The sequence below is a fragment of the Homo sapiens genome, chromosome 10, assembly GCF_000001405.40.
Source record: "Homo sapiens chromosome 10, GRCh38.p14 Primary Assembly".
NCBI classification, from domain to species: Eukaryota; Metazoa; Chordata; class Mammalia; order Primates; family Hominidae; genus Homo; species Homo sapiens.
Genome location: NC_000010.11, coordinates 66,962,936 through 66,989,283, shown reverse-complemented (window position 1 = coordinate 66,989,283; position 26,348 = coordinate 66,962,936). Strand labels below are relative to the sequence as shown.

At 36.4% G+C, this 26,348-nt stretch overlaps 2 protein-coding genes and 1 long non-coding RNA gene across 9 annotated transcripts in view; 2 read left to right on the top strand and 1 right to left on the bottom strand.

Annotated features, from left to right (window-relative positions):
* CTNNA3 (catenin alpha 3) overlaps positions 1 to 26,348 on the top strand; it is a 1,851,072-nt gene that overhangs the window by 774,311 nt on the left and 1,050,413 nt on the right. The gene's annotated exons all lie outside the window — the stretch shown is intronic.
* The window catches only part of LOC101928961 (uncharacterized), a 118,044-nt gene that overhangs the window by 22,870 nt on the left and 68,826 nt on the right, over positions 1 to 26,348 (top strand). Inside the window, exons 2-3 of the long non-coding RNA NR_111911.1 lie at positions 4,980 to 7,527; positions 8,635 to 8,712. This is a non-coding gene — a long non-coding RNA (uncharacterized LOC101928961). The remainder of the gene's footprint in view (positions 1 to 4,979; positions 7,528 to 8,634; positions 8,713 to 26,348) is intronic.
* LRRTM3 (leucine rich repeat transmembrane neuronal 3) overlaps positions 1 to 26,348 on the bottom strand; it is a 175,516-nt gene that overhangs the window by 112,268 nt on the left and 36,900 nt on the right. The window lies entirely within an intron of this gene.

The following is a 26,348-nucleotide window of genomic DNA, read 5'->3' as shown; positions in this document are numbered from 1 at the left end:
TGTATTCTAAAATAACAGTTGATTAATTAAAGAGTTAAATATTGACCCCTAGGAGGGCCCTCTGCTACAGTCAATTGGAGAAAGAAGAGGAATAAGGGCTTGGCATTACCTTCAAAAAGATTTTACTCCAAGTCGGATTCTTCATTTCTTGCTGCTAGACAAGAGCCATCAAAGTAAAACAGATACAATTTCCAGGAAATACAGGAAATAAAAAAACACTTTTTCTTGCTATGAGAGGTAACGAGACTGATAAAAGAGAGGTAGAAAAGGGATTTTTTTTTTTTAAGTGAGAGGAAACATCGAGGACCAAAGCCCAGGAAGCACCCGGATGTGTAAGGAAATGAAGAGGAAGATGATCCTTCAGTGAGTAGTGGAGCAAATAGGGGAACCCGGTGTATTTAAGTGTGTGTGTGTAGGGTGGAGAGAAACAGGGAGGAGGGCAGAGTTTCAGGAAAGAGGTTTATAATGATCTATTGATTATATTATTATTAGGAAATGAGAATAAGTAGGAAAAAAATTGCACCTGTCTCCTTTCTTCTTAGCTGTGGTCTCATTTTAGTTCCTAGTATTCAGAGGTGACCTAATCAGACTGCAGAATGTTCTGAAAGGTTTTAAACATGAACTGTTGGTTTTGGCAATCAGAAGCACTGACATAACATAGTGTATCAAACAAAAATATCAGCTTCTTCACAATACTATATAAAATAATGCATGCAGGTCTAAAAATAGATTTAAATTCAGAATAAAATTGTCAAAGTGACTGCCAAATAAAAACACACAATACACAGAAGTTGGAGCTTTTCCACTCAGTAAGAATGACTGAGTTTGTGGAATGTCAGTAAAAGATGTATACTTTAACTTTAGATGAGTATTTGTGTAATAGCTAGAAAATCATTGTATTGGCTTAAATGTTGCTTTGATGAATTTCTACCAAAATCATAATCTCTGTTAAATTAGTAAATTCCAAATGAGCTAAATTCAAACAAACAGAAAACTTGAATATAATCCTGTGAATATAATCCTACCTCAATGATCCTGTGAGGTAGTATTATTTTGGGGATCATTTTTAAATCAATGAAGATACTTGAGTTTGAAGATTAGGAAACCTGATCCAAGTTTATGATGCCAGCAAGTTACAAAGGAATTGGAAATTTGAGCTTAGTTTCTGTCTTCAAAGCCTGTGTTCCTTCATGATACTATACAGTCTCTGCCATCCTAAAGAATAATAAATTATTGACAAAAAGACTAAATTATATTAAATAAAGTTTTGATACTAAAGCATATGATTATATTCTAATTCCTTATAATTTGGTAACCCACATTTGTTATGATAGAAATGTTTTTAAAAGATCATTTGAAAAATTGAAAACCTGATTTTTTAAAACCCTCTGCATAAAAAGGAGTTCCTTTAATTCATTGTAAACTAACTTAAATTGTAAAGCCACTGATTAAATCTTAAATCTGGATCAAAATCCATCTTTGCAAAATTTATCCAAATTTAGTTATCATGAGCTAAATTCACAGAAATGAAGTAGTTCATAATTTTTATTTTGCCAGCATCTTACCTTATGTTTATATTCTATGTTTAAAGTGTAATGGTAAGTCTTTGAATGGAAAAATGGTGTTCCAAAGTTAACTATACAAAGCTTAAGGACAAGACATTTCCTCAATGATTCTTGGGAATGAGACAGTAGTAACTGGATGAATTTTCATGGCAATGAGGTAAATAACAACTGGATGAGCCTCTCTTTTTCAGAGTTAACTGGAAAATAAATTAAACAAACAAATAACAAAGTCTTTCTGGGCATCTCGGATTGCTAAGACCCCAAGCCTCAGCATTTTTTGACTCCTTTCTGATTCTTCAGCCCTACATTCTATCATCAAGAAATCATTTCACCTCTACCTTCAAATATAAGTCCACAGACTATGATCACTTCTTCCATCTCTCATCTGAATCAATGTGATACTCTTATAACTGTCTCTCTAATTCTGCCTTGCTCCCCTGTTACAATGTCAATCAGGTCATGTCATGTGCCACTTTGTGGCCACCCGTTTCATTCAGAGAAAAAGTTAAGTCCTTACAACATATTCTGCTTCCCTCTCCCTTAGTCCTGCCCTGTGTCCGTGTTTCAAAACCTACGCACGTGGCTCTAGACAACTTTGCCTGCTTGCTGTCCTCTAAAATGCTAAAAGGACTTCACGTCGGGACTTTTGCACTTGCTATTCTTTCTCTCCAGAAAATCTTGTATATCTGCTTGGTTTCTTCTTCTTGCTTCTTTCAGATCTTGGCTCATGTATCAGCTTATTAGTGAGGCCCATTCTGACGATGTGACCTTGACTCCTTATTCAAATATAAACTTCATGAAGACAGTGATTTTTGGCTATTTGGTGCACTTCTGTATTCACAGTGTCTAGTGTAATCCCATAGTAGGTGTTCAATAAACATCTGTTAAATTAATAGATTAATTGATGGAGAAATGATTGACTATCATATGTGTTATTTAACTGCCATGTTAACTGCAGATAGGTAGTATGATCTCTGTTTTGCTAGATATGATAAATCAACCTGATTAGCCTGATAGCCATGGAGTTGTAAAAGTTGACTTACAAGGTATAGTTGACTATAGTTGATTCATTCTAAAATTCTTGTCAGGTAAAATGAGGTATCATTTTGTATCATTCTCCTATAAACTACAGAGTATTTCCTCATGAATGATTAGTTTTTTCAATGTATTGTTTTTAATCACAGAGGTCTTGCTACTTTATTTTATTTTAGTTTAGTTTAGCAAGATGGAGTCTTGCTCTGTCGCTGAGGCTGGAGTGCAGTGGTGAAATCTTGGCTTATTGCAACCTCTGCCTACTGGGTTCAAGCGATTCTCCTGTCTCAGCCTCCAGAGTAGCTGGGACTATAGGCATGTGCCACCATGCCTGGCTAATTTTTGTATTTTTAGTAGAGATGGGGTTTCACCATGTTGCCCAGGCTGTCTGGAACTCGTGGCCTCAAGTGAACTGCCTGCCTCGGCCTCTCAAAGCCTTGGGATTACAGGTACGAGCCACCATGCCCAGCAGTCTTGCTATTTTAATTAATCTGGCAAGTAATTATATCTAAAGTATACAGGCACTGGTTTAATCTCTGGGACATACTGATTAACCAGACAGGCAAATCTGGAATTTATAGTTAGTTAAACAGATGCACAAACTAAAAAGAAAATATCAAAATTGTAAGTACAATGCAAATAATTAAAAGAAGGAATGTGAGGCCAGGCATGGTGGCTCACGCCTGTAATCCCAGCACTTTTGGAGGCCAAGGCCAGAGGATCATGAGGTCAGGAGATCGAGACCATCCTGGCCAACATGGTGAAACCCTGTCTCTACTAAAAATACAAAAATTAGCTGGGTGTGGTGGCGAGCACCTGTAATCCCAGTTACTTGGGAGGCTGAGGCATGAGAATCGCTTGAACCCAGGAGGTGAAGATTGCAGTGACCTGAGATCATGGTACTGCACTCCAGCATGGTGATAGAGTGAGACTCTGTCTCAAAAAACAAACAAACAAACAAATAAACAAACAGAAAGAATGTGGTAGGAAGTGACTAGGGGCAATGGGATTGGGTTCTTGATGATCATTTCCACCTGCCCTTCCTGGTCTCTTTGCCCTTCTCCATTCTGCTTTCCACTCCAGAAGACCAAACTTTATGGACTCTGTCGTTGGTCTGCCTTACTTCTGGCCTCTGGTTGTGTTTGACCAATGGGAACCATCTGCAGAAGATTTGAGAACTAGGGGAGGAGGAGGGCTGGGTATACTTTCCCCTGGATCCTCCCTGCCAGCTCCCCACTGATTGGCAGTGTTTTTCTTTACCTAAGGCCAGGTTCCTGTTGGGCACCCTTCCCCTATATTTTCATGTTCTGAGCTGTAGGAACTGTTTCTTCCTTTATTCTCTCACCCTTGGTAACCACTCCTCCCTGGCTCTTGTAGTACAGAATTCTGCATTATATGTGCTATCATATTGTTAAACTTTATAACAATAAATAATCACTATATTACTATAAATCACCCCTTTACTAAATAAACTATATGAGTACCTGATTTGTTTTTTACTCACCCATGACTGATAAAGGTGGTAGGAAATACCTTTGTGGTGAAGTATTAGATAATGTTAGTCTTGCAGAAGGCAGCCATAAGGAAAATATCTAGGAAGGAACATTCTAGACAACGGAAAAATCTGAGACAAAGAAACAAAGGCAGGGATGAGCTCTGTATGTTTGTAGAACTGAAATATTTTGGCTCAACAGTAGTGAAGAAGAGAGAGGATTGTAGGAAATGAGGGTGGGATCTAGGCAGGTGCCTACCTTGAATTAATGTTCTTATTGTACTTAAACAAAAAAAAAGCACCAAAACAGAGCAAAAAATGTGTGTCAGTAAAAGGCAGTATTTTGTGGGGCATGTCTTTACCTAATTCTGTTTATTTGTGAGTTTTGTGAAAGTGAAAGGAAAATTACCAAAAATAAATTATTTAAATTTTCGTTTTCCTTTCTTTGTAGCACATTTTCTTAAGTCATTTAAGTGTGACTTTAGTCATCAAGTACATACAAGAAAAAAAGCATAAAGGAATGAAAATTAAGAGGGTAAAACTTCTGCAGGCTATATTTACTATTTACTCTAATAATATTAAAAGGAATCATGAACGCATTGAGAAGTATTTTGAAGATCAAGTTTATGTAGCAGTTTATTTTTTAATCTATCCTCATGGCTTTGTTGTGTTTGTGAGACAAAATGACTTCCTAAGAAACACAGATTTTATTTCCTTAGTGTTACTTCTAGTAATTACTCTTTCTCTCATATTTACATTTGGTCAATTTTATCTGCTTCCTCTATGCAAGAAAAAATTAACTTCTTAGACTTTTAACCTTCCTTCTTGTTCCCCCATCACTCTAATTTGTTGTATTCACATACTAAGAATAATGTTTGGTATTCTCTTAGTTTCCCTTTAGCCAGTTTATCAACTATCTTCTGGATTTCTGGTTCTCAATCCTGACAATAAATGAAATCATATTCTGAAAGAACGTCATCATTCGTTGAAATATTTTCATTTCTGGTAAATACATTGTCTTGACTTAAAAAGTGTTTTTTTTGGTAGCGGATGACTCCTAGAATAGTACCTGGCATGTGTTAGGTGCTCAATAACTATTTACTGATGGAATGAACACAGGCTCTAGTGTAAACAGATGAGACTTCATAATGTCACTTACCACATGGCACTCAGGAGATATTTAGCCTACCTAAGCCTCGATTATCATCAACTATAAAATTGAGATAATAATAGTATCTACCATTTACCGTTGTTCTAAGAATTAAATGACATAGTGCATGCAAAGGACTTAGCATAGAGCCTATCACCTAGCAAGTGCTAAAACATTAGCTATTATTTTTAACATTAATTATTTTTCAACCCTAGAATGGTACATTTTTAACAGGTAGTACATTTTAACAGCAAAATTTTAGCAGAATGTATTTATCCCCCACTTTGCATTTTTTCCTAAAAACTGTATCATGGGATAATTTATTTTGCTGTGGAGAAAGACTAAACTATCTATGCCTCCCTCCACCTGAGGTCATTTCTGAAGCTGTTGGCATTGGGCCAGGGGTTGAGTGGCAGAATAATCTCCTTATCAATTTTGTTATGTTTGATGTTGTACAAAATAAATAGCTCAATAAAAACTCCAGTTTAGATGTTACCATGGTTGGGAAGAAAATGGCAGTGGCTACCTATTAAGAACCACAATCACAAATGCAGTCCTTCTGTATTTTATATCCTTGGTTAGGTGGGTTTCTTGTTCTTTTCCTTGTTTGCTCCATCTGGGGATGCCTGGGCACCCGTACAAAACTCACTAGTGCCTAAACACAGACACATTAGTTGGGGCTGCCCCTGCTTCAGATACCAGGGAGAGATTTGTTGGCATAATGCACCAGGGTCTTATGCCAGCTCCTGATTCTTTGCTGATGCTGAGATGAGGAACATGGCTGGGAGGGGGCTAGGATGGAATGAAATCTGTGGCAGCCAAAGCCTCCATTTGTCTTTCTGCCGAGTGTGCTGAGCTGTAGACACTGCAGTGTTTTCAAAAATAATAATAAAAAAATTTGCTCATTAGTTTTTAAGTCCTGCTGACTTTGTGAAATCAATATAGCACATTGTAATTGATTTATGAAATCAAAAAACCCCTGCTTGACCAGGAAGTTCGGCAGTCGCTGCTCTCAGCAACCTGCCCTTCTGCTCATTAGTGCATTTCCTTTAGTGCTGCCTGAGCCGAGGGCGCCTTCAGAGCTGGAAGGCTCAAGCCCTCTGCAGACAGTCTGCTTAAGATGTAGCTTGCATTGTGTCCCTGGGGTCTTATGCTTCTCCCCTTCTTCCTACCAGGTCAGCTGAAGGACTTCAGCTTCTCTCTTAGGGTCCCTAATGTTCTCATAATATCTTACTGGAAAGGCAAGACTCCATTCATACCTGTATTTTGACATTTTAATCTATTTGCTACTTTTCTTTTCTCTCACCTTTTATTCTTCCTTGTCTTATTACTTAGCTTATCTTTTGCCATCTGACCTTATCTATTCATTGATCTCTTTTATTCTATTTTATATAACCTCACAAGGTTAACAATTTTTTTCTATTTCAATTGTCTTTGTCTAATTTCAGTACCTACTGTTTTATTCTTAAGATAATATTTTATACCTCTTCCTGCCAAAGCCTGCTATAATTATGTTTGTATGCCACCTTTCAAAAATTGAAGTAACTGCTATACACCAAACATTGTCCTGGGTGCTTTACATCAAATTATCTTCTCAAGAAGTGTGTAAGGAATGCATTATCCTTGGTTAGAGGTGAAAAAACTGAGATTTAGAGAAGTTAGTAACTTGCCTGAGTCACCCCACTACTGAGGGGCAAGGCTGGTATTTGAAACTAATTCTGTTTGACTCCAAAGCCTGTGTTTCTTTTTTCCAGTACAAAATGATTATTCCAATTGGCCTCTGTTTTACATTAAATGCTTAACTAGCAAAATCTAGCTCTTGGCTGCCCTTAAAGGGGCTCATTCTCTTTAGTGCCATTCTTCCAAATAACTCTGCTGTTCAAACTGCCAGAATGCAAATGTATTTATTTTAAGATCTTGGTCTATGCTAGCATATTGGATGGCTTATCCTTTTTCGTGGAATTCTCATCTATCTAATGTTATGTGTATGGAGCCCCTTGCCTCATCATTAAAGGTGAGGGAAGTGTTCTCATATTGTCAAAAGTCACCAAGAGCAATCTCATAACCTAGAAAAATCGACAGACAGCTGAGCCAAATAGGCAGCCTTTGGGAGCTTCCTGTGGATTTCATTTTCTCTTTGTTCTTTTGATGCAACTTTGGGAGCAAGTAAGTGGGAAAATTATAGAACACTGCAGCAGCAGGAAGATGATGCAATGTGCTCGATGTCCTCACTTCTTAAGTCGTTGAAGGAACCTGTAGTTTCTCCATACAGGTACTGTATGTTTCAGGTAAGTGCTATGCCATGTTCATAATGCATGAGTTTGCAATGAGTTAATAGGTTCCATCCATTTGATGTCTTGCATAATATTGCAGTAGCATTGGGCATTACTGCCATTCAATATGTGCAATATTGTACTAAAAATTAACCACAGATGCCATATTAAAACAGCTGCAGATTTAGATTTAGCTACAGAAGGAAGAAAATGTGCTATGGAAGTTGGCCAGAAGTGCAATGGAGATATGCTGTAAATGAGGAGGAGGAGAAAGATACTGAGGTTGAAGTGCCAAAAAAAATAAATGGAAATGGAAATGGGGATGGGTAAGTCATATGGTCAGTGGCAATTCAAAGGGACTCAAAATCCAGAAGAGTGCAGAATGCAGGGTGACTTATGCCTGAGTGAGCTGATGAAGTTTTAAAGCAGGAGGTCTAATCAGAACAATATTTAGAGATATAGATGAAGGTGTAAAGAAAACAGCTATAAATGTAATCATTCATTTTTAGGATGCTTAACTGTAGTCAGGATATTGATTTAGGAATAAACTACTAGAAAAACTGGATGTGGCTGGGCGCGGTGGCTCACGCCTGTAATCCCAGCACTTTGGGAGGCCAAGGTAGGTGGATCACATGAGGTTAGGAGTTCGAGACCAGCCTGACCAACATGGAGAAATCCCTCTCTAGTAAAAATACAAAATTAGCCAGGCATGGTGGAGCATGCCTGTAATCCAGCTACTAGGGAGGCTGAGGCAAGAGAATCACTTGAACCCGGGAGGTGGAGGTTGGGGTGAGCCGAAATCACACCATCGCACTCCAGCCTGGGCAACAAGAGTGAAACTCTGTCTCAAAAATAAATAAATAAAAAAGAAAGAAAAAGAAAAACTGTGGATGCTTGAAGTGATCAATGTGTGAGAAGAAAGTTCTGGTGTACAGGGAGTCATAGCAATTCCAGACCATTACAAAATTCAAGATTATCTTGAACACTCTTGTACATGAAGGTTGTCCTCTGACAATGGACCCTTGTGAGATTGACGATTCCCATTTTGGAGAAAAGTGTTGGAGGGTTCAGTTGGCACAATTTTGTACTGAAAACTGAAGTGACAAAATTTTATTTCAACAGAATTGCGGGCTTGCAAGAATCTCATTAACTGTAGGGCCATCTGCCACGTTGCTACTCATTTGGCTCATTTAATCACAGGTGGGTAGGAAGGTCTCAATAGTTTTGGTTCCTGTTCAATTCTGATTTTTGCTTGGGAAACAGAAGGAAGGTCTCAATAGTTTTGGTTCCTGTTCAATTCTGATTTTTGCTTGGGAAACAGAAAAGGCCAGTGACAGCTGTGGCAGTGCCAGGGTTCTCTTTTCTCTGTGTGAGCCAGAAGATGGCTTCCCTATATAGTTTGCTGCTAACAGAGCAAGCAGACAGTAAGCATTTCCTCGCCCTAGTGTTTGGCTGCTGAAAGAATTATCTTTGTTGACTTGTGGTATACTTGGCTTAGGAGAAGAGACAAGGAACACAGTGGTCTCTAAATTAGTAATTGACTTCATCAGGGGAGGAAAGACTGGTTATTGACTGCCGTAGGTCAGTTAAAGCACCTGACATTTACCTATAACTTGTGTCTGCCTTCCTGGCTCAGAAATGAAATAGAAACAAATTTGATTAGTAACCAGGAAATACAGTTGGTGCTTTACAAGTTATTAGGTACATTCTAGGCCTCTAAACATTTTAGGGAAAAAAGTGTCTCCAGTGCCAATGCATAACCTTGTTTTCCTTCCTCTTCTTTTGAACACAAAAGAATAAAAACTTGATGGAACCCCCTGGTGTTCCAACAGTACTTGAGGAAAGTAAAGCAAAGCAGAACACAACAAAATACAAAAACAGGCTTTTTCTATTTTGTTTTACTTTGTTTTTCAGTCTAGTGTTTCAAATCCAGGAAATGTCAGTTCTTTCAAAGGACCTTTTCTCCATAGAATAAAATTTTGGGAAATTTTGAAAAAGCTGTAGTTCTATTATGATAGTGATAAAGTAGATTATAGCTAACATTTATTGGGCACTCAATGTGTGCACAACAGTACTCTGTATCTCACCTATATAATCCTATTCATCCCCACAAACATCTATGTTCTAAGTTCTGTTTATACTCCCCATTTTACTGATGTGGCAATTGAGGGATAGAATGGTTAACAAATTCTTCCAGGTCGCATGGCCAGAAGTATGGCAGAGTCATTATCAAAGCCCCCAAGTTAGTGCCTGAGTCTGCACCCTGGGCCGAAATTTTCCAGCTTCTGTGATACAGAATTTTATGCCAGAAACTCTTACATTACTAAATTTTTCATTCTTTCTTTTAATATAAATATACATAAAAATGAGGAAAACTTCCATAGGTGTGTTCTAATACTGTGAGCAAATTAAAACTCAATTGAATACTATTTTCACAAATACATGTATGCTTATCTCACTTTAGGATGAACCAATTCTAAAAGTCCTACTTAAGAAATAGTTATGACCAGGCATGGTGGCTCATGCCTGTAATCCCAGCACTTTGGGAGGCCGAGGCAGGCAGATCGCTAGAGGTCAGGAGTCTGAGACCAGCCTGGCCAACATGGTGAAACACTGTCTCTACTAAAAACAAAAATTAAATTAGCCAGGTGTGGTGGTGGGTGCCTGTAATCCCAGCTACTCAGGAGGCTGAGGCAGGAGAATCTCTTGAGCCCAGGAGGTAGAGGTTGCAGCAAGCCAAGATTGCACCATTGCACTCCAGCCTGGGTGGCAGAGCAAGACTGTCTCAAAAAAAAAAAAAAAAAAAAAAAAGGAAATAAGTATGTGAGGAGTGGCTATTTAACAAGGGACTTGTCGCTAGTCAAGATTTAGTAATGGCTTCCTTCAAATAATAGGCTTTGTGAAATTTACATAAAATACAGTTAATAATAATTCAGGCTAAGCAATAATTTAGGACCACATTTGTTGCATATGTCAGGCCTTGCTTTCATGCTACTTTTTATTTAATTAAATAAAAATCCTTTATAAAATAATGTGACAGGTTTAGTAAATGTATTTATTCACTGGAACTTTATGAATTGCTAATTTTTATTTGCTATTTATAGTTTCTTTCAGCTCTGTTTTTTTCTCTCTTTTTAAAAACTGTGGTAAGAACACTTAACATAAGATCTACTCCCTTAAAAATATTAAGTACACCATACTATATATATATATATATATTTTTTTTTTTTTTTTTTTTTTTTTTTGAGATGGAGTCTCACTCTATCATCCAGGCTGGAGTGCAGTGGTGTGATCTAGACTCACTGCAACCTCCGCCTCCCAGGTTAAAGTGATTCTCCTGCCTCAGCCTCCTGAATAGCTGGGATTACAGGCGCCCACCACCACGCCCAGCTAGTTTTTTGTATTTTTAGTAGAGACAGGGTTTTGCCATGTTGGCCAGGCTGGTCTCGAACTCCTGACCTCAAGTAATCCACCTGCCTTGGCCTCCCAAAATGCTGGGATTACAGGTGTGAGCCAGTGCACTTGGCCCACAATACAATATTGTTAACTCTAGGCACTATGTTGTGCAGCAGATCTCTAGAACTTATTCATCTTGCATAACTGAAATTTTATACCTATTGAATAGCAACTCCCCATTCTCTTAATTATCTAGGATCATATTTTCAGGAACGTCATCGCATGTGTGTGTGTGTGTGTGTGTGTGTATATATATATATATGTGTGTGCAAATTTATTTCACTCATGATGTTATACTAAAGTATGGATTTCTATATACAACCTTGATTATTCCACACTTAGGAATAAAAGTTTGACTAAGTGTCATTTTTCCTAAAATATGTTTTGGTTCCATAAGTATTAAACAAGGATACTTACATTTATAAACTATTTTGTATTGTTTCCAAATGAAAGCACAAGTGATCCAGACATATAGGAGGCTATAAAGCATGACATATCTTTAGTGACAATTGGAAGTACAGAATTATGGACAAAAACTATCCACCCAACTCAGAAAAGAGAATCCTGTTTCCTTTACTTTGCTATGGCAAAAAGTTGACTCCTTTATCTAACAATAGTAGATAGCTATCTGAAGATTTATTTAACCTTTAAAACATACAAGGCCCAGCTTACATCTACAAATTTAGAGCACATTTGGAAGCTCTTTAGATAGGAATGCTGAAGTACCTCTGGCTTTCTATTTTACACGTGACAGTGAAGCATAGAAAATTGTTCCTTCTGTGAGCTCTTAACAGAGGCCACTCTTGTAGTTTCTAAAGTTTTATTGCTAAGCTTAGGCTGAGGGTCATATCATATGATCTTTATACATTTTTTTTTTTTTTGAGACAGAGTTTCACTCTATCGCCAGGCTGGAGTGCAGTGGCGTGATCTTGGCTCACTGCAACCTCTGCTTCCCAGGTTCAAGCAATCCTCCTGCCTCAGCCTCCTGAGTAGCTGGGACTACAGGTACCAGCCACCACACCCAGCTAATTTTTTGTTTTTAGTAGAGACGGGGTTTCACCATGTTGGCCAGTATGGTCTCAATCTCTTGACTTCGTGATCCACCTGCCTCGGCCTCCCAAAGTGCTAGGATTACAGGTGTAAGCCACCGTGCCCGGCCAACCTTTATATATTCTACCCATTATAGGTCCTTTAAACAAATCTTGCCATTTCAAGCCTTAATCTATTTTCCCATTGATTTATATTAGGTCATTATTTTAGACAATGGAACTATCAACCATTGGCTAATTCTCCTGGAAGCATTTGTAGATATAAAATTACATTGATTTTCACCTGAAAGGCCCAATAAACTCGCCCATACTAGAAATTTAAATTTTGGTTCATTTCAGTAACCAAATGATAAGCACATCAAAGTAGTTATTTGGAAAGCAATCACTGTCTTTAGACAAAAACAAGAGCAAAAACAAAAACGTGGGTATCTCCTAAGAGGCCTGTGACTTGTTATACATTTTACCAATAAAATAATCATTTACATGAAATTTAAAGACTTACTCTAGATGAAATGAATAATGAGAAAACAGCACTAAGTTCAGAGAATAAAATTGTATTGACGAAGAAAGTAAATAGATCAGTGTGGCAGAAAAGTCATGAAAATAAGATTGGAAAAGTAAGTTTGATTAGTATTGAAAAGGGCCAAAAATGCCAAACTTGGGAATATGACCATTTTTCTTTAGGGAAGTCACTGTAGATTTTTAGGAAGAGATGATGTCATTACAGTTATATTATATGAAGACATCTTTCAACACTTTGTAGGGTAGGCTAGTAATGAGGCTATTGGAGTAATCTATAGAAAAAGAGATGAAGGCAAGAATAGAAGTGGTGGTGAGAAAAATGGAAAGGTCATGTGGGTTCCAGAGTCGAGAGGATGTTTGACATGTTTTTCTTTGTCTGAAATGTTCTTCTCTACTTTTTCTGCCTTACCAGTTCCTTAATTTCAGGTCTCAGCTGAAATATCCCTTTTACAGGGGTATCGTCCCTGATTCCCTATATTAGTGCCGCCATTCCATTTCTATGTTCTCCAACACTGTTTCTCACCTGCACTATTAGAAATACTTATAATTATTTCATGAGTTACTTTAAATTATTTTTAAAGTCCTTCTCACAAGAACATATGTTTTACAAAGGCAGGAACAATGTTTGTTTCATTAATACAAAGCTACTAGCACCTAACAGTAAGTATTCAACAAAATTTTGTGGACTAACTGACCTATTATTGGGCCTTTTATACAGGGAAATTAAAGAGGGCAGTTGGTAGAAAAGAATCAACTCTGGTTTTTAACTGCAGTAGCATGTTAAGCAGTTATTGGTCTATAATTTATGCTTTAGAATAAATGACTTTTATATATTTTCCTATAAGGAGGTATTGATATACTGATTGAAGAAGACCAAGATTTTTGGTCAGATAGAAAATGACAAGTCTTAATGGAGTTTAAAATACCAAAATATCATGTGTTAACTTAGAAAAACAGACAGAAAGGAGTGCTAAATAGAGGAAACAGCCAAGAATAAAGAGCAGAAATACTGTGTCTGCTCTGCAGATAGGACGAACTTAGCTTGATGGAGAACCAGATAAACTTGTGGATGAACCAGCTCAATGCCACCACTAATCCTGAAAAGTTATACACAAACCACTAAGCCAAGTGCTCTGTACATGACAATCATAGACTCATAGAATTGGATAGTGCAAGATAAGTCAAAGACAGACCGCTTCCCAATTCTTGATCTGATTTGCAATATCCAGCCAAATAGTTGCGAAGCTTTTCCTGAAATCCTCAGGAAAGGGAAACCTTTCCAACTTATTTTTACTTACACCAGTAGCTGATGATTCAGAAGCCAATCTGAACAGGGAACATTTAATCAAATCATAACTAAGTCAAGTACATCCTTACCTACAATGCTTAGGCATCTGCTTTAATACTTTGCAAAAGACAGCAGCATGCATGTTGTGCATACTACTCACAGATAGTACTTATTACTATTAATTATATGTGAATACCTTTATTAGAAAATATGAGAGCTGTATATTTTCTAAGTGTTCCCTCTTATCAAATAAATCAGTTATTGAGCTAGCTATCAATTGCAGAATCACATGATAATTTGCTTAGATTGAAGCAGGATTTTTGAAATGATGAAATGCCGATTTTAAATGGGACTAAAGAATGACCCTTTTGGTCAGCTACAAAATGGCGAGTCTTAATGGAGTCTAAAATACCAGATTACTCATCTCCTCTTCATCAAGAGCTACCTTTGATTCCAGGCCTATTGTTTCAGAATTGCATCTGTGGATTTTAGACCTATTCTTGACTCAGAGCTTGTGCTGACCTGGACTGGAATACTTTTTTCTCCTTAAAAAAAATGTATTATTAAGAATGCTTAGAATTCAATATGAAGAAAAAACAACTCAACTAAATATAGATGAAAGTCTTCAACAGACACTTCAGAAAAAAAAAAACAAATGGTTGGTAAGCACATGAAAAGATGTGCAATGTCATTAGTCATTAGGGAAATTAAAAATAAAACCACAATGAGAATATAACTTCCTGCTCATTAAAATGACAAAACAAAAACAAAAAGTCACATATTAAGTGTTGTATTAGTAGATGATATGAACCAATGAAACTCTTATACATTACTGATGGGAATGTGAAATGGAATAACCACTTTGAAGAACAGTTTAGAAGATTCTTTAAAAAGGTAAGCATTCACTTACACTACGAACCAGTAATTACAATTCTAAATATTTACCCAGGAGAAATAAAAACATATGCTGGCGAATGACTTGTATATAAATGTTTACAGCAGCTTAATTCACAATAGTCAAAAACTGGAGGCAACCTAAATGTCCATCAACACCAACAGGTGAATGCGTAAAGTGTGCTGTATAGGAATACACAGGGGAGTATTACTCAGCAATTAAAATGAATGAACTGCTAAGAAGCACTTTTTTAGATTACTCCTTTCTTCTTAAGGAATAACTTATTCTCCAGCCTATGTCACCAGAAGCTGTGAATCAGAAGTAGGCCTAAACTTGTAATGAGCAAAAGAAAGCAAGAAACAAAAACCTACATTGAATGATTTCATTCGTATCAAGCTCGAAATTAGGCAAAATTAATCTGTGGTGATAGAGACAGATCAGTGGCTATCTGGTAGGGCATAAGAAGACTGACTACAGAGAGACTCAGGGCAACTTTTTTGGTGATAGAAATTTTCTTATATCTTGATTTGTGTGGTGGTTACACTGGTGTATACAGTTGGTAAAACCTATTAAACCGTATACTTTATGCATTTTGTTTTATGAAAATTATATTTCAATAAAGTTGATTAAAAATAAATAAGGCTGGACGCGGTGGTTCACGCCTGTAATCCCAGCACTTTGGGAGGCCGAGGGGGATAAATCTTGAGGTCAGGAGTTCAAGACCAGCCTGGCCAACATGGTGAAACCCCATCTCAGTAAAAATACAAAAAATTAGCTGGGCATGGTGGTGGGTGCCTGTAATCCCAGCTACTGGGAAGGCTGAAGCAGGAGAATCACTTGAACCTGGGAGATGGAGGTTGCAGTGAGCCGAGATCGCACCACTGTACTCCAGCTGGGGTGACAGTGAGACTCCGTCTTGAAACAAAATAAGTAATTTAATAGTCTAACAAAATTATTTGAGAGTGTATTTAATTTAGCACTTTAAAAAATAAATTATATATTGCTAATTATAAATGAGAATGTTACTAAAACAAACTTAGAAGGGCATACTTAAAAGTCTTCTATATAGAATTGCTTGGTTACCAAAAGTTTAGTTACTATGAAATTAATGCTTCTAAGCTTACAGATACTTTATTGTTCAATTTAGTTCAGATTGTTCTTGTCATTTGTTAATACAAATTATTGAGAATTCATTGTAATATTGATGTTAGCGTCATATCAAAAATGTGGAAAGTCCTAGTACAATGAATATTATGAAATTTTCTTCTAATTGTCAATTTTCTTTTTCAAAACTCATACATTATAGTCTTTACTCAATACTGTTTTATTTCAATTGGAAACTGACATTTTTGATATTTATAAGAGATTTAAAATTATTTTTCATAAATATGTAGATTACAAGACTATGAAATCAATTTGAACAATTAGAAAAAGAACTGTTCATTTGATCTTAGCCAAAAGGCTGAGAAGCAATAAAAAAAGAACCATTTTTAACCCTCCTCAAGTGTATTACTATTATAGCATATTTTGTAAACATGATGTAAAACTGCTTGTGGTTGACTTAGTTTTTAATACTGACATTTCTGAAATGTTATTTCTCTCTACTGTATTTATTTATCCTACTTTTTAATCTATGAAACTTGTCAACATGGTGAAACCCCATCTCTACTAAAAATACAGACAATTAGCCAGGCGTGGTGGCAGGCGCCTGTAATTCCAGCTACTCAGAAGGCTGAGGCACAAGAATCACTTGAACCCAGGAGGTGGAGGTTGCAGTGAGCCGAGATTGCACCATTGCACTCCAGCCTGGGTGACAGAGCCAGACTCCATTTCATAAAAAAAAAAAAAAAAAAAAAAAAAATCTATTTGACAGAACCTTTAAATTGTATCTATATAAAGCTTTTAATATTATGGGTTTGCTTATGTTCATGTCTTACTTAGAAAAAGCACTTTATGAAATAAATTTTTATCAACTGAAGTAATAAAACAATCTGGATGGGCCTGTTAATGACAAAGTTAACTATTCTCCGAGAGCAAATGGACCAAAAATACCATTTATGCAGAAGTAAGAGGAAAATAATGATTTTTACGTTAATAAAATGTATTCTGCAAGGCACAGTGGTGCGTGCCTTAGGTCCAGCTACTCAGGAGGCTGAGGCAGGAGGACTGCTTGAGCCCAGTAGTTTGAGGCAAGCCTGGGCAACATAGACCTCATTTCATCTCTAAAAAAATGTATTCTTTGATGCTATATATAGTATAATAAATTTTGAGCTGATTATGTCATGTGGGTAAAGGAGTTGAACTCTGAAGCCGAATAATGAAGGAGGGAGAAAACTTTAGCCTGTGAGAGAAAGAAATCTTTGTTCATTCCAGTGAAACTGGAAAACCACAATAAATTGACTATATGTTGTTAATTTGAGAAGGCGATATTCTATCATAAGGAGTAGGTGTGCTATGGCAACACTAAACAAAGCTTAAAAGCTCAGTGGAGTGTAGAGTTCAAGATATTATAAAGACTGTTAAAGACCATAGATTCAAGGACAATGAGGAAAATTTTCAAGAGTCATGGGGGTTAATTAAAGAAAATTTAATTTTCATTTCCTGAAACAAATATTACAGAATGGAATATACTGAAGTACATTAGCATGTTTAAAAAAAAAAGAATATGCTCTGACCTTGTTGAAAAAAAATGATTTTGGCTCAGAAATGAGAAATATTAAAGAGAAGAACCTATTGTTAATTTATAATAATAGTAGAGATGACAGGGTCTCTTGTAATTAAAATAAATTATGTTTATGGTATATTTTCTCTTTGTTGGGCACTATTGCCAGGAATTGCCTGCAAATTCAGTGAGGTGGGAGTGGTTTATACCCTTACCTGTTCTTACCAACACAGTTATAATGATGACATTTGTCATTTATTGAGTGTTTACTCTAAGTGGGCACTCTACTAGGTGCATTACATAAAGTAATCCTCATAGTAAAGGAGTGAATTACACTCCTGGTTTTATAGGCTTAAAGAAGATGAAAACTGGCACAAAGCCATACAAATTATAAAGAGTACAATTGGGATTTAAGCACAGTCTTATGCTTATTCTAACACTGTTTATGTATGTATGTATGTATTTTTTTTTTTGAGACGGAGTCTCTCTCTGTTGCCCAGGCTTAGAGTGCAGTGGCACGATCTCGGCTCACTGCAACCTCCGCCTCCCGGGTTCAAGCGATTCTTCTGCCTCAGCCTCCTGAGTAGCTGGAATTACAGGCTCACACAACCATGCCCAGCTAATTTTTGTATTTTTAGTAGAGACGGGGTTTCACTATGTTGGTCAGGCTGGTCTTGAACTCCTGACCTTGTGATCTGCCTGCCTCGGTCTCCCAAAGTGCTGGGATTACAGGCGTGAGCCACCACACCCAGCCTTTTTTTAACTTCACTATCCTGCCTCATTGCTGCCCAGTGTAATTAAAGTCCAAATAGATACATTTTCATTTTTTTTCCTTTAAGATGATTCAAAGGGGAAAAAGAGCAAATAATGCAAATACTCATAGAAAGGCAAATAAACTTGCATGAAAAGAAGAAAGGAAAGAAAACAACTGAAATCCTGGCACAATTAATAGATAACTTCTTTCTATTTCACTTGGTTGAGGGAATTTTCTTGCTTGAACATTGAGAATTCTTGAGATCTGTATTATCTTGAAAAACAGAAGGACTACCAAGAGGAAATAATACACAGAGGATGGTGTTACCATGTATATACTGTCTCTTTTTTGGTATAATTCAAATATCACTTGGGCAATCATTTGTTATCTTTTGAAATAGTTCTGCCTGGAGATAAGGAAAGATTTTTGGCTTTCTAAGATATCATTTTGGGGCTATGTGAAAATAGTGTCATTATGTAGATGCAGATTTTCTGGTTATATTTCATGGATATTTGAGGTCACAGTCATCTCTAAATTTCTATACCTTCCTCTTTGAAATGTATTTTCTTGGCATTATTAGAATTTATGTAAAAATAAGTAGGTGATAAAAATTTCCCTAATAGAAGAATTGTATCCCCCCCCCACCCAAGAATATAGACCTTTTGTGGAGTATTTCTGGCTACCAGTTACCTCACTGAACTCAAATGTAATATTACCATGACTGTCTGGGAAGGAAAGAATAATTGTTACATATCTGCTGTATATCGAGAAGAAGCTGACTGTGTATGCAGGTAATATATGGATGACTTCCTAAGAGATAGTGCTGTAAAACCAAAGTGAAAATACAACAGAGTAACTGTAAAGAAATCCCAATAGCCATCCTTATGACTGACAGACTATAAACTTTTGTGGATGCTTGAATCTAATACCTTCTTACCACAACTGACCTTGCTCTAGTTTAGAGCTTCTAACTTTCATGTAATCAAAGTGTCTGTATTTTTGTGTGGGTTTAAAGATGTGGCTGTCCATGAGTGGCCCTGGGATTTTTTACAAGTTACAGTGATTTTGCAGTTGTTGAGATAGGTGCCACGCATTAAACCTATGGAACTCGCCTTGACTCCAAGTCAATTCTAGCCTTATAGTACTTTGTAATAATGATGTGGGAGAAATCTCTGAGGTAGGTCAGTACTGTTACTCTCATGTTCATGTAGTAATCCTGAGGTTCATAAACTTTCATGCTGTTTCACTAAGATGTTTCTGATAGGAGTTACAGATACTCTCCATGTTGTGGAAATATAGAGGGTCTCTAGGGTCAGGAAGCCTTATGAATGTTGTGAGAGGCAGCTTTTCTCCTCAAATGTGAGGCAGCTCACACAAAAGAAGTACAAATAGTTAATAAACAAACAAAAAATTCAATCTCACCAGCAATCAAGTTTGAAGTATATCAGCTTTGACCTATCAAATTGTAAAAGAGATCTTAAAATTTCTAGTTTGAAGTATCATGGAATAAAAATTTTCATAACTACTGGGAGCAGTTATAATACAAATTATCATGAAAACAGTGTGGTGTTATGGATCAAAAATGCTAAATCTGTCCTTTTGATGCAGCAATTTGGCATATAAAAATGTATCCCGAGGAAATAATCCAAGATACAATTAAAGTTTTATGGATAAAGCTGCTTAAAATTTTCTCCCCAACTTTTTGATATTATACATTATTCAAATGTGCATCAATAGCATAATAATTCAATTATTGCACATTCATTTTATGGAACGATATGAGGCCATTAAAACTCATGATTTTGAAGAAGTTTTAATGACATGGAAATGTTCACAATGTAATGATAAGTTATAAAAATAAGACATAAAATTGATATACAGTATCATTTCACATTTGTAAATATAAATGCCTGTGCATAGATGTATGAATGTTTGCTGGTGGTTTTATCTGTCTATTAATATTATGTTACATTTTCTTATTAATATTTGATTTTTAAAAATATTCTGCAATGAGTATATTTGCTTTTGCAGTCAGAAAATAAAGCAATGGATGTTATTTTAAAAGAAATAGCTCATAAAGTAAATATATATATTTACATATAATATTTGTTTATTTATTTATTTATTTTGAGATGGAGTCTCATTCTGTTGCCCAGGCTGGAGTGCAGTGGTGTGTTCTCAGCTCACTGGAACCTCCGCTTCCTGGGTTCAAGCAATTCTCCTGCCTCAGCGCCCCCAGCAGCTAGGATTACAGGCACATGCCACCACACCCAGCTAATTTTTGTAGTTTTGGTAGAGACAGGGTTTCACCATGTTGGCCAGGCTCGTCTTAAACTCCTGACCTCAAGTAATCTGCCCACCTTGGCCTCCCAAAGTGCTGGGATTACAGGTGTGAGCCACCATGCCCGGCCAAAAATATGTATTTAAATTTAACCTATTAAAAATGTAACTTTAAGACTCAATATGGTGCTGTATACCCAGTTTCATAGCCACTTATTTATTCTTCTTTTAATGAATATGTATTGAGTGTCTTTTCTCTGTTAGGTGCTGTTTTAGGCACTGAGGAGACAACCTTTTTGTTTGCAGAAACTCCTGAATCCAATCGCTTCTAACCACGTTTTTTTAGATATGAACTTTCTTCATATCCAGTTTCTTCATTTTGTCTTTCCTAAATGTGGTTCTAAAATTGTATTTTCTCTAGTTTAAATTCATCTTGTCTCTTTTTTTTAATTTCTTTCCCTTAATGTCAAACTAATATGTATGTATATCTTTTTTCGATGTGTTTTATATATATATATAATATTTATTTAGATATATACTCTAAAATAGTGTCTGATATTCCTTACTTGCCATACTGTAGAATCAAACTGCCTCTTGGTATTGTTTTGGAAACTGTTTTTAAAAATTAAAACTATACCAAAATCCACAGCCAGCAACATACTCTTATTTGATGATGGTAGAGATGGTATTTTGCTCTTGAGTAATTCTATCTAATAAATTCTGTGGATTTTGTTGGCAAGTTTTTTCTAGAAACAGATTGGGTTTTTCAGGCTCAGCAGTCATGGGGCAAAGAACTACTTCCAAGTGGTAACTTCATGCTCAGAGTATAAATTTCTTTTCTTTTAGTATAGACTTAGACTTTTATATAAAGAGGACAAATCCAATTCAGTAGCTGTTAAAAAACCCATTCATCAAAAAGCATTCCTAAATGTTTGAAACACACTGAATCATAGATTTTATTACTATTCAGTAGTACAATGACTTCCTCCCTTCTAAGAACCTATTAACTACTCATTGTTGTAGAATTGAACCTTTCGAGGGGATATATTCTTTCTTAACAGGATTTGGTGAAATATAATGATAATTTAAATCTACTAAACAGATTATTTTTCTCACTGGCACTCTTATCTTTATGTTTCACACCTCAGAATTTTCTTAAGACTTCATTTTTAGAACGTTCATTTTTAAAAATTCTTAATAAATGTTAGAAAATGTGTCAGTTTTTATTTGATCTGGGAAAATTATTTTAATGGACTGTTTTACATAGTCCCGCCTCATATGGTTGTATCATTTGCATACTGCTTAAAGGTATAGAGGGTGCAGATGCAAGTAGTGGTTGAAATCTTGTATTGCTGAGGGAAAGATGTCATTTTCCAATGCAGTTAACCAGATGGGACCATTATTGATTAATTAATTGTAATTCATATGCATGCTATGTGTATATATATATGCATGTGTGTATATATGTATATACACATATGTAGATATATGTATATCTACATATATCTATCTATCTATCTATATATATATATGTCTATATCCATATCTATATCTATCTATACCTATATCTATATCTATCCACTAGCAGATGACCTGGGCTTATATAAGACAATGTTTTAATTGTTAACAAATAGAAGGTCATGGTTTATGTCAAGGCTAATGTATGCGTGTATGTGCTTGTACACATAAGAAAAATCTCACGTTTCCAGAAAAATAGTCTATTTTTTGCTATAACCATTGTTTCATTAGCAGAACCATCAACGTTCCTAATGGAGTGTTAATAATCACCTGCTTATAGTGGTACCAGGTTCTATGTTATACTTAATATTTCTTTTTGCGCTATGAACTTATATTTTAAGAAAATTGCAATAGCATATATCAAATGTAAGATAGGCCATGATATCCAAATACAAAAAATTTCTCTTCTAATTCTCCCATTTAGTTGAATTTGAAACAGGGAATGAATTCAGGAAAGTATGGGAAAAGCTACTAAACATGTCTTAAATAAGCTATAGTTCTATGTTGGGTAACACAGAGATATGGAGATGTGAGAGCACACTGATTCATGTTGTTTTTTTCCATATTTATTTTCTTCTTACAGATTTAGAACCCTGCTAAGTTCTAAATATGGTTTGCCTATCAGTGATCACCCCAAAACTTGTGGTTTTTATTCTTATGTTAATGTTTGTAGAAGAACATCTTATTTTGGTTAAATGTAGCCACTGCTTCCCCCTCGCCGTAAATTAGGTGTATGATCTATTAAATTTTTAACACTAAAACTGACCTACAGTTGGCTATGTTAAAAAGCTTCTTTGAATCTGATAGCTCATTTTTAGCTATTTCTTTGAATAATCTGAAAGGTATATCCTGAAAAAAAAAATATATTACATAGCCGAGTTAACCCAGCTGCATATTAATTCTTTAAAATGATAAATATATGACATTTGGTTATTTTAAAAAGTAATGACATCAAATAAATTAATTTTTCATTTCATTATACAAAGTCTTTTAGGATTAGTTAGATGATGCTAAAATTCTGTACATCAAAAATGAGAATAAGACTTTTTTACTTAAAAGATTAATTTAATTGTCTACACATAATTTAAAAGGAACTTATTTTTCCTAAATTCTGACCAAAAATAGGGAAAATTGTTTTCGTTTATTAATGCTGATGGTTAAAATATGTAACATTTATTGAGGTCTTCTGTCAGAAGCTTCACTATTTTTCAAAATGGCACTATAAAATAATAACTATTGTTATCCCAATTTTACAAATTAGGAAACTGAGGTACAGGCCTCTCAAGTAATATGTCAAAGTGAAGGAAGCAAAAGACTCAAATCTTAAGTCCTGACTACAGTTCTATACACTGCCTTTATGGTACTGAGCTATATTAATTTCAGGCCCCTCTCCAGACTTATATAGTGCTTGCAAAGCAAACAACAGGCTTTGGAATTGCCAAGGAGGATGGATTTCTCTCAAAATTGTTTTATAATGATGGGAAGGCACATTTCATGAAATCATTATTTTCACTTAACATAGAAAAAAAATCTGCATGCTGAAAGTACTGTTCTACCCTCCTATATCAAGTATCCTTTGAAACATATGCGGCCTTTGACTGAGCAAAGAAATAAAAGAAGATGGAAGGAAGAGAGAAAAATTCAGGGAAAGGCTTTGCTACAGTTTTGCTTTGGGACAATCAGTAACCGTTTTCTCTACGTGGAAGTTCGTTAGACATTTTGGGAACTGTCTTGCCCTCCTGGGAAATATTTAGTTTGGTTTAATTACAAAAAAAAAAAAAACAGCTTTTTTTTTTTTCTTTTCTTTCTTTTTTGAGACGGAGTCTTGCTCTGTCGCCAGGCTGGAGTGCAGTGGTGCGATCTCGGCTCACTGCAACCTCTGCCTCCCCAGTTCAAGCGATTCCCCTGCCTCAGCCTCCTGAGTAGCTGGGACTATAGGCACCTGCCACCACACCCGGCTAATTTTTGTATTTTTAGTAGAGACAGGGTTTCACCATGTTGGCCAAGATCGTCTGGATCTCTTGACCTCATGATCCACCTGCCTTAGCCTCCCAAAGTGTTGAGATTACAGGCATGAGCCACCATGCCGAGCCAAAAAACAAACAAACAAAAAAACCCCAAAAAAACCCAGCTTTTTAAACACAACCTGGAGGAGACTAGTACCTAAATCCAGGGCATTGTCTGCCTTCCACCGTGGCTCCCAGCTGTCTTTTTGGCATGGGACAAAGAACAGGGCTTGACCCACAGTTGGCCCTCACAGAGTGGAAGCCAGCAGAATAAAGGCAGGAAGTTTTAGGAAGGAAATATTTGCTTGTTTGCTTTAATTCAAGAGTGGAACGTGGCAATCTTATTGCAGAATTCATCTTATTTTATTGCTTTTTAATAGCTTTAAATTTTCTATTATTCCAAAATGTAACTTTTGTGTAAAATGTTTCTAAACACAGGTTTTTTACATTAGTCAGGGTTTAATTTTGAGTTGTGACTTGAACTTGACTTTTCTGTGAGCGATGAAGCTCAGTCCTTGCAAAGCTGGATGGGTTTGCAGTCTGCCTCTCATCTGCTTTATCTCCTCCCTTTTCCCTCCTACTTCCATGCTGCCTTATCAGTTTTAGGGAGGGATCATGAAATTCTGTAAGAGAAGAAAACCAAGTGCAGGCTGTAGGTATAATTGGTGACTCAGTCCTGTGATGGTCATCAAAGGTGTCAGTTCCTCCGAAGTGAATCCACCATCACCTGACAGATACATTTATTGTTTAAATGTCATGATGAAAGTGCCCAAGAGCCCCACTGGTCTAAAGTGAGGTTTCTCCCAGGCTGAGCACATTCCTTAGGAAATAGGAATCCTGGTCCCTGATTTATGAATATTTACAATTGTTATCATCTGATGAACATTTTATCTATTTTCTTGCCTTCTCCCAAGACAGTACTTTTGTGCCAGTTTAAAAATGTATGTAATTTTAAAGTATGAGAGAAACAAGGTAGAGTGATTTATGAAAAAGCACACTGCTTCTAAGTGTATCTCCCCCACCAATGTAAACATCTAGATTGAAATGCGGAAAAAAAAAAAAAAGACCTGCTCTTCAATGTAGAATCCTCATACTTTAAATGTCTAAGGAAAGAGAAGAATGTTGTGCTGAATCCCAAAGCAGTGTGACAAAGTTTTTCCTACGATGTTACTGTGGACAGAAATTGATGTCTGGCTGGGTGCGGTGGCTCACACCTGTAATCCCAGCACTTTGGGAGGCTGAGGCAGGCAGATCACGAGGTCAGAAGATCGAGACCATCCTGGCCAACATGGTGAAAACCCATCACTACTGAAAAAAAAATACGAAAATTAGCTGGGCATGGTGGTGCATGCCTGTAAACCCAGCCACTCGGGAGGCTGAGACAGGAGAATTGCTTGCTTGAACCAGGGAGTTGGAGGTTTCAGTGAACCGAGATTGCGCCACTGCACTCCAGCCTGGCAACAGAGCAAGACTCCATCTTAAAAAAAAAAAAAAAATTGATGTCTATGCACTGATAAAACAACAAATCCTTGAGAATGGGGCAACACCACTTTCTAGCCCAAATTCTGCTTGGCTTTGTCACCTTCCATTTCAGATGATAATGTCTCACCCTGCTCTTTCTCATGAATAGAGTCTTGGTCTCCTTCTATTTTGGAACCTGTTTTCGACATGCCCTCTATACCTTACCCTGAAAAGGGATCTAAATATCATTTTTGTGGGAACTGTCAGGGTTAGGGTGAACCCAGTAAACCTCTCTACCCAAACTACCACTGCAGGTGATCAGTTCATCTGATCACAGTCTTTCCAATCCTGTTCTTATATTTGACCATTTTTAAGTACACTATTATTTGCTCACATCTACTTGGAAAGTAATCGTTGTCAAGAGGAATGATGAAAGGATCATCTTTTTCAAGTGCCCAGGAACTTTGTGCATATAATTTCATTTAAGATGCATTAATCATATAATCACATTTTCCATACTACAAGCAAATAACTGAGGCTTATAGAGGTAAATAATTTCCCAGTGCTACACAGCTCACAAGTTGCAGAGGTGGAGTTCAAAGCTAAAAGTCTGTTTGTGTCAAAGTGCTTGCTCTTCCATGGCATAATGAAGCATCTCCTTGTGGATGCACTGTCCCATGTGGTTGTGAGCCACTAGTTAGTTTTTACAGTATTTCTATAGCAAATACTGTAAGTACTAGCTTTGTTTTATTTCAAGCATCACATTTAAAATAATTTTGGTTAATTTACAGAGTATGATATAGTTTTGGCAAGTAGAAGTATGTGTGAGTCTTACTGCAATGGATAAATGTGCTAGACTTCCTGGAAGATAAGATTCCAAAGAACCCCTTCATTCATTCATTCAGTCAACAACTACTTATTGAATTCTTGCCTTATGCCAGGCAC